Source organism: Homo sapiens, chromosome 16, assembly GCF_000001405.40.
Source record: "Homo sapiens chromosome 16, GRCh38.p14 Primary Assembly".
Classification (NCBI taxonomy): Eukaryota; Metazoa; Chordata; class Mammalia; order Primates; family Hominidae; genus Homo; species Homo sapiens.
This window is the reverse complement of record NC_000016.10, coordinates 79,088,972-79,105,847: the sequence shown is the minus strand read 5'-3', so window position 1 is coordinate 79,105,847 and position 16,876 is coordinate 79,088,972. Positions and strand designations below refer to the sequence as shown.

At 43.9% G+C, this 16,876-nt stretch overlaps 1 protein-coding gene and 1 long non-coding RNA gene across 3 annotated transcripts in view; both read right to left on the bottom strand.

Annotated features, from left to right (window-relative positions):
* The window catches only part of WWOX (WW domain containing oxidoreductase), a 1,113,014-nt gene that overhangs the window by 106,820 nt on the left and 989,318 nt on the right, over positions 1-16,876 (bottom strand). The window lies entirely within an intron of this gene.
* LOC107984806 (uncharacterized) lies at positions 3,826-15,798 on the bottom strand. Its single transcript, XR_001752381.2, has 3 exons — positions 15,763-15,798; positions 4,472-4,713; positions 3,826-4,052 (listed from the first exon to the last, which is right to left on the bottom strand). It is a non-coding gene; the product is annotated as an uncharacterized LOC107984806 (long non-coding RNA).

Sequence of the window (16,876 nt, the reverse complement as noted above, 5' to 3'; positions counted from 1 at the left end):
TAGCAACACAAAAGAAATTTAGCTGGGTGTGGTGGTGACTGCCTGTAGTCTCAGGTATTTGGGAGGATGAGGTGGGAGGATTGCTGGCATCCAGGAGATGGAGGTTGCAGTGAGCCAAGATTGCACTACTGCACTCCAGCCTGAGTGACAGAGTGAGACCCTGTCTCGCAAACAAAAAAAAAAAAAACAAAAAGACATTCACAGTATTCTATAAACAAAAGAAAGCAGATTATATAGGACTGTGTACAATATAATTGTTTCTGTGACTTTTTTTATAAAAGCAAAAATAGCTATATATGCATTTCTAGAAATATCTAAATACACAGATTTAAATATAGATATTGATATGGGTATAGGTATAGATATAAATGTGGATATTGGTTTAGGTATGGGTGTGGGTGTAGACAGGGACAGGGATAAGGGAAGGTGTATAGATATGGGTATGAATACGTACATGGGTACGAATATGGAGTTGGTGCCCTTTTCTCTGAGTTTTGAGATGATGACCGTTCTGCTTTTGTTATTTTCGCTTATCTGTATTTTCTACCCTTTCTACATCTAAAAGAAATTGTTTTCACTATCAAAATAAAAAAATTCCTTTGAATGATTCAAAACAATAGCAGACTGCTGTTACTGAGGACCCTTTTGTCACTGTCACCACTCGGGGTGCTGGTTCTGTTCCTGTTCATAGCTCATCGAGAGGCTCTGGGGCTACAGGACCCACCCAAAGACCCCCAGCAGGTGAGGGGCTGCGTCCCTGTGCTGGTTCCAGTCTGTCATATCACATTTTCCACTTTTGTAAACTGAAAACTCTAGACCCAGCCCCGTGCTGACCGGAGACTGCCTTCCAGTATCATGAGGAAATTGGGGTGGCGGACAGGTGCACCCTCCCCCTGACCCCTAACGACCTGCTTTGCTCCTGAGTAATTAGCCAGGCGCAGAGTCTATGATGGGGCCTTCTCTGGCCGCTGTCTGTCGAGGTTTGGACACCTTTGGTCAAGTGGGGATTGCAAGTACGCACAGTATTTCAACGTCCTGAAATCTCTTAATGAATTCCCAGCGTGCATTCTTGGCATTTTTTTCTGTAGGTCTCCAAATGACTCTCTGAAAAGGACTCATGCTGGGGCCCAGCATTTGTGTTCACTGATCAACAGAGGAACGGGGATTACACATCATGACCTGCATTTTTAAATGCAAGGAGACACAAAGGTACATGGTGACATACATATGTGCATCTATCTGCCTCAACACTTAATATTCGTGCGTATTTTTGTATCAATACTTAACCGTACATAATTTGATGTCAAGTTGTCAACTAATATTTCTCGGAAATTACTGATCTATCCTTTGTATATGTTTGGCATTAAAATATTATTTGTTTTACAAATATGATAGACGGATGAATGGATATATGATAAAGCCATTATAGCAAAATGTTAATGGTGGTTCGCTGTAAAATTCTTTCAACTTTGATGTATGCTTATGAGTTTTCATTGTAATTTTGAAGGAAAATGATGTGTCTTATGAAATAACAGTAATAGCAGATGATAACTGAGGTTTTACCAAAACATTATTAATGTCCTTACAGACCAAAATAAGACACAGGCAACCCTATGTTACCACATTTTTTTTCAATGTTAGGATATTTCAAGGTTTGAAAACCATTGCTTTAGAGTAGTTCACCTATTTGTGGGGTTGTGAATCTTTTTGATTCCAGCTTTAGAGCCTCCCAGGGCTGAAAAAGAAAAATTGTTGATTATCTTAGGCAAGGTCCTTAGTAAGTACCCCCACCACCCGCCCCCCCCCCCCCAAAAAAGGGCACCACCACATAGCTGTGCCTACCTTTGCTCAGGATTGGTTACTGACTATAGTACATAAATCTCCCCATTCCTAGACTTCTCTCTTGAAATTTCACACATCATTTTCAATTAAGGAGCTCTTTGCCTGAAGGACAGAGCCACCTGGTTTGTCCTACAGAGTGTATCTACAGGCAGATGTGTAGAAACGTGCATGATGGCATAAGATGCCTTTGCTTGAGAAGGGAGCCCATTTGCAGCTCTCCTTACCATCCTTGAGGACTCAGAAACTGAATGCCTTGAACGGACTTAATAGTTTAAGTAACATATCTAGGATTAATAATAATGTTTAAAACCCTTTATGAATAGCTAATATGCATGGACTGGATAGGTCATTTTAAATGTTACTGGATTTGTTAAGATCTTAAAAATTAATTCCTTTAGCAAAGTCAAACTACAGATTGAATCAGATAGTATGGAATAAATTGGAGCTGACAATCACCCTTTTCTCCATGTTCCATAATGAAACGGGTGTTCTCCAGCTAAGGGTTCCCAGTGGGGGCCTCAGGAACAGGGGAAGAGGCACAAAATCCAAGGAAGGAGTGAATCCTTGTGGTTGTGCTTGAGCCCCTAAACATTTCCCACTAATGCGTTTGCTTTGTGACACTCTAAGCATTTTTCCTTACTGAGGATTTCAGCTGCTGGATTCCCCTAAAGGTACTTTAATACCTGTGCTGGGAGGAGAACAGTCACTTCATACAGAAATTAAATACATAAATTAATAGATGCCTCTTCAGAAAACCTTTCAAACACGGAGTCCAGCTGCTTCGGCAACACTGCAGTCAATAGGTCAAGGCCTTGGCTAATGGCTAGGGAGAGGCAGAGGAGGGATGAAAACGGGCTGAGAGACTCAGCAGAGATCAACAAATATGCCCAGAGACTTAACCACTTAGGTGAATATTTGCCTTTGCCAGAGGGTTATGGTGAGAACTTGCCCAAAGCAAGAAGCAAATGGAAACAAGGACACAAAGAAGAGGGAAGAAGAGGATGAGGAGAAAGGAGAAGAGGAGGAGGAAAAGGAGGATGAGGAAGAAAAGGAAGAGAAGGAAGAGAGGGAGGAAGAGGACAGAGAGGAGGAGCCACCAGCCAGGGTTGCATGTGCGTGCCCAAGTACACAGGACATTCTGCCCTTCACCTGTCGTCTTCAAAGACCAGAAAAGAATGCCACTCTCAAGTTCTGCCTTTGGCAGGAGTGAGCTAGAAAGAGTCTTTAGGTGTTTAATGAAACAAATAAAATTTAAACATGTACCCTTTAGCTTCAGAACCTCCGAGATATTAGGATTGTGTCCAAAAGACTTGACATCTTTATGCAGTGGCTATTATATGCCTGGCTCTTTCCTAGGTAGGCACTGTATATATGTTTCTTGTTTAATGAGATCATTTTCAAACTCTTAGCAACTCTTCTACCCGTTTGCTATATATTGAGCTTCAAAGTATGATTTCCTTCAAAGAAGGGTTTCAGCAACTTTTAACAATCTTGAAAAGCATGATGTTTGGTAAATGCGACAGACAGCAGGCATTCTCTCACATTTCAAATCTCCAATGGCTCCTAGCAGTGTATTAGCACACACCAGCTCAATAATATTCCATACATTCATAAAAGTTTTCAAATGGAAGGAGATGTTGCATGCAGATAAACACCCTCCCAGTTTGCCCATTTAACAGATGAGGTAGCTGAGTCCTAGAGTCAAACACCTCTTGTCCATAGTCACAAGACGCTGACCCAATACCTGAACTAAGCAGACAGCAAGCTTTTAATTTTATGTTTATAGGCAAGTTATCTTTCAGAAAGATTGAGAAGAGACATTCAGATGACATTTCTCACTGATTCCTCAAAAACTATAAGCACTCCAGTACATTGTTTTGCTTCCGGCCTCAGTCCCTGAACCTGCCCACCCCCGCCCCACCCTCCCCACACCCCCTCCCCCCCTCCCCCCTACTCCCTGCCCCCCACCCCCACCACCCTCCACCTTTGGTCTTCATCTGCTGGGAGGAGGAAGATGATGCAGCTTGAATTAAGTGTCAACTTCAGGTAACTCTTCCAGAATTGTTTAGCTTGGATCTCATGGATCTCCTACCTCCCTGAGTGTTTCATGCATGAAAGCCTTCCACTCTCTCCAAAACGCTGTACTTCTTGAAAACCACAGCCATAAAACACGTTTCTCTTATGTACCTCCTACCTCTAGAAAAAACTATCTGGAAAGTAGATGTGAAAGCAGGAAGTATTAGTCCTTTTTTTTTTTTTTTTAAGGCTAAGTAATACAGAGAAAGAGAGAGAGGATGAGAAATGATCCCAGGTAATTCCCTTTGGAAAGTTTCTGTCTGTTGCGTCTTCTGGAAAGCACGGCGTGTTCTGTGGACATGTATTTCAGAGGACTACTTCCTGCATTGGCTTGAATGAAAAGATTCACCAGGGATGCTAGATAAGAAGCAAATTCCCAGGACCCACTGTAGACCCACTTAAACTCATTCCCTTAGGCTGGGATATGGGAATAGGGAGTAGGCATTTTTGAAAGAATCTCTCCCAAATGATCTTTGTCATCAAGTAATTTTGGGGAATTTACCCAACTTTCATCTATTTGTAAATTTGGGGAATTTACCAAATTCCACCTTACCTGACGTGTTAAATCCTTCTATAACCTGCGAACGATCTTGTGTCAGCAGAGAGACCAGCAGAGTTGTTGGATTAAGAAGGATGGGTAAACAGAATCAAGCTCATTTCAAAACATTCCACTGTCATACAAGCTGCGAATATGTTTGAATAAAAACCTTTCTGAAATGTCTCCAAAGATCTCTCTTTGCATGAGGTCCTTTCAAACGAGGCCAATTTCTGGAGACTTTTCTCCATTTGTCCTTCCTGTACAGAATGCAAAATAAAAGACACCATTTCTGAGTGGCCGTTTTGGAAGGATAGCTTCTGTAAATGGTCTTTGCTGAACTCTCGTCCTGGGTCCTGGGTCCTGGGTTCCCTAGTTCTCATTCCCCCATTCACACCCCCCTGCCCACCACAAGACCTTTCTACAGGTGCCAAGTTTACCAAAGACGTTACGCCTAACCCCTATGGAGAAAACCCCGTTGGGTGCAACATACAAATGGAGCTAGTTCTTGCCAGTGGACATCTTGTTAATACATTCCACTGCCCTCTGCTCTAAAAGGATCTCGTGTGCTCCACGGGGAGACTGGAAAATGCATTGTATGTTCCAAAGGGAAGAAGGCCTATTTCTGCAAGCCCAGCCCCAGTCCCTGAATTATTTTAATTGCAGCCTGGTGACGCCAAGGTGCTGAAGCACCCCCTTAGGCTGAGTGCTTAGCTAGGAGGTACTGAATTAAACTGTCAGAACATGCAGAAAAATTGCAACGCGGCCTGTCAACAACATTTGTTAAGAGACACGGGTGAGGCTGGTGACTTGTATAGGAAAAGAGCTGTCTGTGCAGAGCCATCAAAGCACAGCCTGGAACTAACGGGGTATTCAGAGGTCTTGTTCTACTTCATTGGTCAAAGCCAACACAAGCCTGTAAGATTTGGGCCCGTTTGCTGTTTATTACTGTGGTAATAAAGGCCACTTAAAGATACAAACCCATCTCGTATTGGCTTAAACCCAGGGCTTCTTTTCTGAATCGGATCACTAATGTCTCGTTTCTCAGGCTTTTAAAAATAATCTTATGTTTTAGGAACAAAAATTCAGAAAAATCAGACATCCTATCAAAAGAAGACATTCTAATCTTGATCTTATTTATCTTTGGTGGGTATCTTTTTTTTAACATCTACCCTGGGATGGTCCATTTTGTTTGCCACCCTGGCTAGGCTATAGTTTCCAGTTATCCAGTCAAACATGAATCAAGGTGTTGCTGGGACAGTATTTTGTAGATGTGATTGAAGCCCTTATTCAGCTGCCTTTTAGGAAGGGAGATAATCTTAGATGGTCTGAGTGTGACGGAGTCAATCATTTGGAAGATTTTAAGAGAAGAACTGTTTCTTTTCCTGGAGAAGAAGAAATTCTGCCTGTGGATAGCAGCTTTAGCATATGCCAAGAGTTCCTGTCTGCCTCTCTCGACTGCCCACTGTATGGATTTCAGACTTGCCTAGGCAACCCTACTATTGCATAAGCCAACTCCTTGCAATAAATCTGTTTCTATATATCTCCTACTCATGCTGTTGCTCTGATTTAACCCTGAATGATCCACAACCTTATTTTAGTCCCTTGTCTCTCATACTGTAACCAAATATCTTTTCATTAGAAGTCTCAAATTAGAGATTTGTACACTGCAAAAAGTTCATGTTATTTTCGGCCCATACCCATGTATTTGGTGCAATATGTTAAAAACAGAAATAAATTGAATTAGTTGCCAATATTTAAAACTCCTAAAGATTTCTCTCTCTCTCTCTCTCTCTCTCTCACAAACACACACACACACACGCACACACAATCTACATTTCTAGATTCTGTTAGAAGAGAAAAAAAATTAAAGAAACTGGCCAGCATAGTTGTGTATCCTCATATGACAACAGTCAGCTAGAATGGAAAGTGACCTCCTCTGTTAACAGAGTGTGCGCGCTGCAGTTTACCACAGTCTCCACCACTCCTTATGGTCTCCCCGGCAGTAAGGCTAATTGTCACGGGACCTTACATTGTTTTTCTTTTTGTAAAGAGAAATGTGAAAGATATATCATAGTCACTATGGTTTGGATCTGGTTTGCCTGTCCCCACCAAATCTCATGTTGACATTTGATCTCTTGTGTGAAGATGTCAGGAGATGGAGCCTACCGGGAGGTGTTTGGGTCATGGGGACGGATCCCTCATGAAGGGCTTCATGCCATCCTCATGGTAGTGAGTGAGTTCTCCCTCTGTGATTTCCCACGGGAGCTGGTTGTTTAAAAGAGCCTGGCACTTCCCTTCTCTCTTGCTTCCTCTCTGCCCATGTGATCTCTGCACACACTGGCTTCTCTTTGCCTTCTGCCAGGAGTGAAAGCAGCCTGAGGCCCTCCCCAGATGCTTAATCTTGAACTTTCCAGGCATGAGAACTGTGAATCAAACAAACTTCTTTTCTTTATGAATTACCCAGTCTCAGGTATTTTGTTATAGCAACACAAAACGGACAAAACTATACCCTTTACTCTATCAGAAGTAGAAATTTTAAAAGATATACAGAGAAGGCAACATATTGCAAGGAAAAAAAGGAGAATGTACATTTTTCTTTGCAGAAATGAAGACCATTTCTATGCATTCCACTTTCCAACAAAGTGTATCTGGGTTATTACCTGCCTCTACTCATTTATGTTGACCTGCCTAGTAGACATGTATTGTGTGCAATTCCTTCTTCTACACCCTGCACATTTTAGGAAAAATTCACTATGAAACCATTCTTCTTACTCTTTAACAAAAGAAAACGCTAAGGTGATTACAAGGGAAGTTTGCTCAACACACAGGAACACTGTGATAATTGCTTTTGGAGAAATCCATTGAAATGCAACCATCAGTACCAGGGAAGGGGTGAAGAAGATTCCAATGACCTTCTTTTCTTTCCAGACAGTTCTTAATATGCACTCCTTTGCCCATGGTGACCCCTGAGGGGTTAGTTAATGGGCTTTCTTCTGCTGGTTAAGAAGCAGAAATGCACTCTAGGAGAAAATACCACCCACTGGGAGTCAGGTGTCTGTGTTCAATCCCCACTGTCTGTCTCAGACACTGAGACTCAGTTTCCTCCTCTACTAAATAAAAGGAGTCCCCAAATGTGACTGTGCCTCTGCTTAGAGCTTCTGGATTCAATCTGCAATCAAATGAATGTCTCTCTGGATGGTGAGGCCCAGGCATCTGTGTGTTTTCAAGCTCCCAGGTGATTCTGATGAGCAGACAGGTTTGAAATTTGCTGGACTAAAGAGCGTCTCAAGTTTCTTCCAGCTCAAAAACTTGATGTACCTAGGAATCAAATTCTGCAGGCGCCTCTCTAGATATTGGACAGGCAATGTTCCAGACATATTAATGCTTTGGGGCCACTGGGATATGGTTTTAAAGGCTTGAAGCATTGCCACACTGCCTTAGTCACCCGGCAGGACCTGACTTATCATTTTGCCTGTAATGCATGTTGCCTGGTGGTTTGAAACTTCACCTGAAGTTCAGATGTGAGGCAAGATGCAATGGTCAAAATCAACAGATCTGAACTGCGATCGACGGGCAAAAGGCTTGAATCTCCTCAGTTCCCACTCTCAGCCCCGCTACTCTCTTATGCCCTGTGCCAACATGATCGCCTTCCCTAAATAAAAGACAGAAAGTATCCTTTATCCTCCAAAGATCTTTTGGAAACAGAATTAAATTGCACAGCGTTCACCCCTAGCACACAAACCTAACCCCCTTTGGAGTACGATGTTGAATGTCGTCATTCTCAGAACCTGAGGGGCTCTCTCTGGTTCTCAGTAGGAGAGGGTTATGTTTTTTCCTAATACAAACAAAAGACATTAGAAAGCATGTGGAGCATATGATAGCGCTGCGGTGCCACTGCGAACAAAATATGGATTTTGCTTTTGTAATGTGTGACTATTAGATCACAGCGTTGGTTGCAATAAATTATCACTTTCAGTTCCTGCTAATTGCTAGACTCTTCTGCCATGGGCTGCAGTGATGTGGGCCAAAAAAAAAAAAAAAAAGTTTTGGAGCCAGATACAAATATGCATCCTGCTGGATTGCGAATGGCATCTCGGATCTTGAATAAATGCCTAAGGAAACAGCTAGGCATGAGGGCCTGGGAATCAAAGACGTCATTATGCAATTATTGAGAAAAGCAGGCTCTTTATAAAAGAGAATTCTGACTTCTCTGTGAATCCACTGACCCAGAGCAGCCTTCACCCTACATGTATTCCTGTCCATAACGAGTACCTACAGGGTATGATGGAAGCAAGTAAGTTAACTGGTGTTGAAGTTAAAAAAAAAAAATCCAACCTGACCTTTTAAATGAAGAGATCCTTCTATGCCTTCTATGCCACAGAAAGTTGCAAAACCCACGAATGACAGCATGCCCCCTTCCTGGCTTCTTCCTGGCCCCCTCCCCAATATGCCCACAGATGTCCCCACCCGACCCTGATCCTTTCTTCTCCCCAGAGTATAAAGAATCTAGTGAGATCTTCTGGGCACAAACCTCGGCTTCAAGCTCCTTCTTCTTATTCTGTGAGAGTCAATTTCTGTATTAAGATCAAAAATTTGCTAAGCACCTATGAGGTTCCTAGTGATGGGGATGCAGGCATAAACAAAACAGGTGAAATACCTGCCCTGTTGGAGCCAGCATTCTCAAAGAGCGGGGAGAAAGCAAAATGGGTAAGTAACTGGAAATTGTGCTTGGATTGATGGCAATGATAATATGGAGAAAAATAAAGCAGGTGAAGGGGGTCAGAGGTGCTGCTGGGGATGGAGAAGGAAGATTGCTGTTTTAAAGATGGTATCTAGAGAAGGCTTCCTCCGAAGGTAACAGAGAAAGGATGGGCCAGCCCTGTAGCTGTTGAAGGGCACTCTGAGTGGGATAACCAGGAGGGGCATGGGTCTCATTCCATTGAACAGCAGGGAGGCCCGCACAGCTGGAACCCAGTGAGCAGGGGGAAGAGCACTGGCAGGAAGAACAGAGCCAATGGGGGAAGGGAGAGGACGCAGGATGCCATGGCCAGCTCGAGAGCATGGCTTGCACTCCGAGTAACAGGGGACGCCTTCAGAAAGTTCGGAGCAGGAGAAAGAGGTGATCTAACATATTTTCAAAGGAGATTCTGGTTCTCCGTGGAGAAAGAACTGAAAGGGTCCCAACATGGCTGGGTGCCAGGAGGCCCTTAAAAGAAAGGACTGTGGTCAGGCTCTGTGGCTCATGCCTGTAATCCCAGCACTTTGGGAGACCGAGGCAGGCGGATCAGTTGAGGTCAGGAGTTTTAGACCAGCCTTGACAACATGGTGAAACCCCATCTTTACCAAAAATACCAAAAAAAAAAAAAAAAAAAAAATTATCCGGGTGTGGCAGCGCATGCCTGTAGTCCCAGCTACTAGGGAGGCTGAGGTGGGAAAATCACTTGAACCTGGGAGGCAGAGGTTGCAGTGAGCTAGATCATGCCTAAACAACAGAGCAAGACTCTGTCTTAAAAAAAAAAAAAAAAAAAAAAGAGAGAGAGAGAATTGAGCAGTGATCCAGGCGGGAGGCGAGGGCAACCTGGAGGAGTATGCAAGGGTGAAGTCGGCTTTCTGAGGTCTGTATTCCTATTTGTGAGGTTTGTCCCTTGCTCCTCTCACATGTAAACTCCGTTGAGAAGAACTCAGTCCCTGGCACACAGAACACATGTGACAAATAATGGTTCCATGTTGAAAAACCTGCCAGGTTAGAGCCTACTCATGTCCCAAGAAGATCGACTTCCGCTAGATGAGTGATAACTAAATGTGGCTCCATTTGTTTTATTATTTATGCAATGTCAGCTCCCCCGCGCCTCACCCTGCATCTCCTCATCTGAAGAGGACATTCTGACTGATGGACCAGGGCAGAAACCAGAAGCCATCCTGCTGCCCCCACCTCTTCTGCTGCCTGGCTCTCTGACCTTCCACCTGCCATTTATTTTGTCCGTGCCTCAATTTCTCCATTCTGAAAATAAGAATAATTCTGCCAAGGGACCATTATGAGGATTAATGAGGTAATAAGGAAATGCCTGAAAGCAGTTTGAGCTCCTTGAAGGAACAGCTATAAATGCAGGGTCCATTTTTCCATCTCTTCTGTCTTCTCCCGCTAAATAAAACAGCCAGAGGGAGAAAGCCCTGTTGGGGTAGAAAGGAAAACGACAGGTGGACAAAGACAGCAGCTCTTTCTCCAGCAAAAATACCCTTAAGTAGATTCTAAGGCATTGGGAAGCCTTTTAGAGAAGCCTCCTTTGCAATAGAACGGGGCTGGGGCAGAGAATATCCAAGAAATTGTGAGGATTATTTTGCCTCAATTTGTGGACCAGAAATCACCTCAAAGGGACTTAGAAATAAGCCAGAACCATGTCGCCCCTCCTGTGTGCCCGAAGAATTCAGAAGCTGACCAGGCGATTGGCAAATCCCCTCAGCAGTAAAGTGAAAAAAATCGCCCACGACGCTGATCTGGTTTGGGCTGATGACACTCTGGGGTAGACACAGTGTAAACCTGTTGGCTCAATAAATATTGGGCTCCTTTTAATGAAAGAAACACTGTCATTCTCTTCTCGTTTCCTCCCTCTTGTCTCTTTAAAACTCCTTTAAATGAGAGGTTGTTATTCCTCATTCCAGGTTTATCTTCAGATGGTCACTAAGTTTATATATGTATCCTTGTACATATTTTATACCAAAACTTCTAGAAAATGCTAACTTAAAAAAAAAAGAAAAAACAGACCTGAGATGGGTTTTTGAAACGGTTACTCTGATGCAGTTTGTTGTTGTTTCTTATTTGCTTTTTAAAACTGAGGAAATGGCCTGGTGCGGTGGCTCACACCCGTCATCCCAGCACTTTGGGAGGCCGAGGTGGGCAGACTGCCTGAGGTCAGGAGTTCTGGACCAGTTTGGCCAACATGGTGAAACCCAGTCTCCACTAAAAATACAAAAAAATTAGCTGGACATGGTGGCGGGCGCCTGTAATCCCAACTACCTGGGAGGCTAAGGCAGGGGAATTGCTTGAACCAGTTGGAGTTTGCAGCGAGCCGAGATCGTGCCATTGCACTCCAGCCTGGGAGACAGAGCGAGACCCCGTATCAAAGAAAAAAAGAAAAAAAAAAAAAAAAGAAAAACCTCAGGAAATGCAGACGAGAGCGCTGGCAAAAGTGGTAATGAAATATCGGCACACGACGAACTTTTGCAAGCAACCCTACATGCACAGTTGTTTGTAAATGAGGAATTGTATTTCTGCATTCACAGGATAGAGGAGTGAGGAGGTGGGATGAGTGCTAGGTGGGCACTTTATCTGGCTAAATTATGCCACTACTTCTGAGTGACCCCATGGACATTCATTCATTCATACATGTATTCGTTCATTCCCTAGCATTTGTGGAAGTGGTATATGACACGGTACTAAGTGATAGAAGGCTCTGGGCTTCCTCCCCTTTCTCTCTTGGAAGGAGAGAGCGAGAAAGTGGCCAGGAAGCTGCGGTGAGGCCCACTCTGGGCTGAGTCACTCGGTTCCCCTTTTCCCTTTTTACTTCAGGCCTGTCACTCTGTGTCGAAGGGCAGGGGGAGGGGAAGCAAGAGAGAAAAGTATCAATGATTGGAGAAGAGGAACAAGTTTAACTAATATCTGATTATCCTTTTGATGTTCATTCAAGTTACCAAAAAGGCTGAAGCACTGCCTGTGCCTCGACAGGAAGTGTGCGGTAAAAGTAATGTCGTGATGTTTGTTGTGGGTGCCAATGGGCCACCCTGCACCGGGCACTGGAGGCCTGCTGGGAAGGTGAAGTGGGCCCACTGCCTGCTGCGGGTGGTGGCTGAGCCACTGTGACTGTTAAATGACTCTTTTTCATTTAATAAAAGAAAAAAAAATCATCATATATATTGCAAGCACAATTTTTAGGCAAATAAAAGCTCTATCTAAATCAAACAGAAAAATGTTGGGTCACAATAAGCCACTGAACATTTCTTTTTGATCTCATAATTGAAAGGACTCATTTTTTAAAATGAGAAAATTTAAATAAACAAATTTAGAGTCTCATCCCCTAAACGCAACTACTGTCAGTATTAATAGACAGGTATTTAGTGTTTCTGTGTATCTTTCGCCTCCAAAATCTGCCTCTCTCCCCACCTCCTCCCAACCACACCGTGACATTTGTTTTGTTTTTCTGATAGATGTAAACACATAATTTTTGCCCATTTTTTTTCCTTTAGAAGTGTCATTCTTTTCATTGATGTAGACTTGTCTATGAAATGGCTGTACCACAGTTACGTAACCAACAGCTCAGCATCTTTCTTTACAGCTGTTGAACTGCTAGGTAAAAAGTAGTGGTGCAAAAGTAATTGCGGTTTTTGCTATTGAATATAATGGTGAAAACCGCGATTACTTTTGCTCCAACCTAACTAGAAAATAGCATTCTATATTATAGATGAAAACTCACATGTCCATCCATGAAAATGGGCCTTATCTAGTTGAAATCCAAACTCCACTCCTATGGAGCTGGGGGGTTATGAGGGCTGAGGGGCCTGAGTGAGACAGCCTCGGGATGGCCTAGGGTTTATGAAGGAGCCATAGAATAATATGTTTTCAACAACGTTTACATTAATTCCAGAGAGATCTCCAAAAACCCTCATTTTTGTGTTCAGTCTTGGGGAAATTATGTCCATGAAAGGTACATACATCTGTCTCTGTTTCCATCACAATTCACTCCTCGCCAACGACTTTTACTGGAAAAAGGGGTTTCGCCAGATGAATCAGATCAGGCTAAAGACCAATTACACAAAACAAGGAACGTGGCTGCTGGCCTTTTCCCTGAACTGCAGCTGAAACTCAGAGAACCATTTCCAGGGGAAAGAGCTGGGCTCCTGGAAGATGTATAGGGTCAGCCTGGTGGTGAGATGGTGATGAGCAAGGGTGCACATCCATGAGGAACCAATCATGTTGGAACAACTAAGTGATATCGCCTCTGGCTTTATTAATATTAAAGACCACAGGCTAGGCGGCTGCCATTTTACTGCCCTGTTTTCAAGCCACCCAGCACGATTGATTCCTAGCTCCCAAAGGCTTCCCCTCTGTTATCTCTTTAGGTTTTAATATTGTTAAAGCCTTAATAATCGGTGGGCTAAACACACATGTAATGAATCCTATTAGTCATAAATGGCTCCCTGCACACAAGAAAATGAAGTAGGAAGCCTTCTCTTGCACACAGGCAAACTCCCCTAATTCAGACTACCTGAAAGCAAGACTGATCTGAATTACACATTTCTTTAAAAGAAAAACGTGAGGCCCGGTGCGGTGGCTCACACCTGTAATCCCAGCACTTTGGGAGGCCGAGGCGAGAAAAGATCACGAGGTCAAGAGATCGAGACCATCTTGGCCAACATGGTGAAACTCCGTCTCTACTAAAAATACAAAAATTAGCTGGGCGTGGTGGCATGCACCTGTGGTCCCAGCTACTCAGGAGGCTGAGGCAGGAGAATCACTTGAACCCAGGAAGTGGAGGTTGCAGTGAGCCCAGATAATACCACTGCTCTCCAGCCTGGTGACAGAGCTAGACTCCGTCTCAAAAAAAAAAAAAAAAAAAACAAAGAAAAGAAAAGAAAAAGATGCGGTCGGGTGTGTGCAGAAACCCTCTTGAGAAAACCAACTTTTATCTAGCAAAGTCCTTAGGCGAGCTGCTTTAACGAAGAGGTAAGAATATCCTTGAGTCAGTAGGAGCTTCTAAATTGCCCGAGGGTACTTTAAAACTGCTCTCTTGCAAAGGGCACAGTTCCCCCAGATTGTTCTGGGGTGTTCTTTGCTTAGTAAACCCTCTCTCCAAGATGACTGCACAGGCTAAGCCTCAAGCCAAGAGCCAAATCCGAAGATCATAAATCCCAGATTCCTGAAGTCCACATGAACAAAAATTGGGTAGAATGAACACCCAGTGGGGAAGCTGGTATATGTTGCTACTGCCTGGCAGCCTTCAAATTCATCTGTGCTCACGAAAGCAGTGAAAGAGCTTCAACACAGGAATGAGATTACAAAAAAATTTCATGCACTGGGATCAGCATATAGCAAAAGGTGAGAAAAAAAAAAGCAGCATTAAAATAAAAATGCCCCAACTACTACTTAGTTTTTTGTTTTTGCTTTTGTTGTTCACATTGTTTGTTTTGTTTTATAGGAAGAGGAAAAAGTCTGGGGGAAGGATGTGGTTATGGTGGCTGGTCACTGGGCAGAACCAAATAAAACCTCGAGAGCCTCCCTCGCTCAATCAGGGTAAAATCCAGTCTTTCTAGGCCTGGAGCGGTGGCTTGTGCCTATAATCCCAGTACTTTGGGAGGCCGATGTGGGTGGATCACCTGAGGTCAGGAGGTTGAGACCAGGCTGGCCAACATGGTATCTACAAAAAATACAAAAATTTGAGCTGGGTGCGGTGGCATGAATGCCTGTAGTCCCAACTTCTTGGGAGGCTGAGGCAGGACAATTGTTTGAACCCAGGAGGCAAAGGTTGCAGTGAGCTGAGATCATGCCGCTGCACTCCAGATGTCTCAAAAAAAGAAAAACAAAATAACCAAAACAGAGTCTTTCTAAAAACCAACAAGGCAGGGCATGGCCAAGCCTCCTCAGTCTCTCCTCCTGGCCTTGGTGGCATGCCTGGGCCCCGCCGAGCATGTGCCTCACTCGGGACCTTGATACTTGCCGTCCCCTCCTCCCTTGCACCCTGCACCTCTTCGGACAGGAATCTGTCCACAGGCCACTCATCACAGAACCCTGTCTAGAGCCATACAGCATCGTCTTCCTGTCCTCAGCCCTCTAAACAGGAATGAATTATCTTTACAGCACTTATCCTTGCTTGCATGTCTTGATTTCTTTCACGTCTCTTTCCCCAAGTAGAATGAAAGCTCCCTGAGGGCAGGGATTTCCTTTGTTCACTGCTGTATCACTAGGTATTGCACATAGAGGGCCCTCCAGAAACGTGAGATAACTGAATGAACGGATGAATGAATGAAATATATAACTATATACTGAGCATGGCTTTAGACACCAATGCAACACATTATATCACACACACACACACACACACACACACACACACACACACGCACACAGTAGAATCTGTCAGGATGGCACCCCACGAGGCTAGCATCTTAACCCGACCCTGGCCCACTCAGACCCACCAAGTCAAGAAACAGCCCTTTTTATGGGCCTTCCAGTAACATTAATTGTTGGTCATAAAACTTCAAAGAAACAGATATTTATAGCTTGATTAAAGCCCCTTTTTTCCACACACACTCACCACAGCACTTTCCAGCTGGGTTCCCATGAGCATACTGAAAACAGCCTCCTGCCCACTTCCTGTCAAAGCCAGTTCCTTAACCGCTTAGGTCCTGAAGCTCGCCGGCCCCCCCTTTTTTTTTTTTCCAGTGTTCACTCTTTCGGTTTCTCTTGGGTTTTCGCAGTTGGGTTTTTCACTCTTTTTCTCAGGCACCCAAGCCCCCCTTGAACCGCCCCCATATCCAGCATGACAACAGGGGCCAATGAACACATCAGAACTCCGAGGAATGAAAAGGTTCCTTCTCAGAACAGCCTCCCAAGGGAAACAAACAAACACTATGAAGTTTTGCAAGGTCTGGGCAACTAATATGGTAATCTGTTTACCATGCTTAAACGCTTAGGCGACTGGAAAACATTTCTCTAGTGCACCAATTCGAAGAAGTCATTCCTGTTTTTTATGTATAAAGATTGCCACCTTAGCAGGGCGTGGTGGCTCATGCCTGTAATCCCAGCACGTTGGGACTTTGAGGCGGGCAGATCATGAGGTCAGGAGTTCGAGACCACCCTGACCAATATGGAGAAACCCTGTCTGTATTAAAAATACAAAAATTAGCCAGGCGTGGTGGCGTGTGCCTGTAGTCCCAGCTACTCGGGAGGCTGAGGCAGAAGAATCGCTTGAACCCAGGAGGAGGAGGTTGCAGTGAGCCGAGATCATGCCACTGCATTCCAGCCTGGGCGACAGAGCTAGACTCTGCCTCAAAAAAAAAAAAAAAAGGTCCCCACCTTGAACGTTCATGATGACGCTAATTTATAATCAAACCTTTGCCAGGAACTTTACAAATATTCTAATCATTACAAAAATCTTGTGAGATGACTAATGTCTCCATATAAAACATGAGTAGAGACTCATAAAAGGTCAAGAAACCAGTTATGCAGCTATAAAACGGCAGAGCTAGGCCCTGTGCCCACCATATGCGGCCTTCCTGATGAAAAGTCACATTCGCACCCTTGGTACAGCACACGAACTGTATTAACTGCATACAGAAAAGACACCAAAGGGCCCTAATTCAGGCAAAATGAAATTGGCTTCATTCCTGACAACAGCTATGTTCAAGGTACATTGAGTTCATCCTATA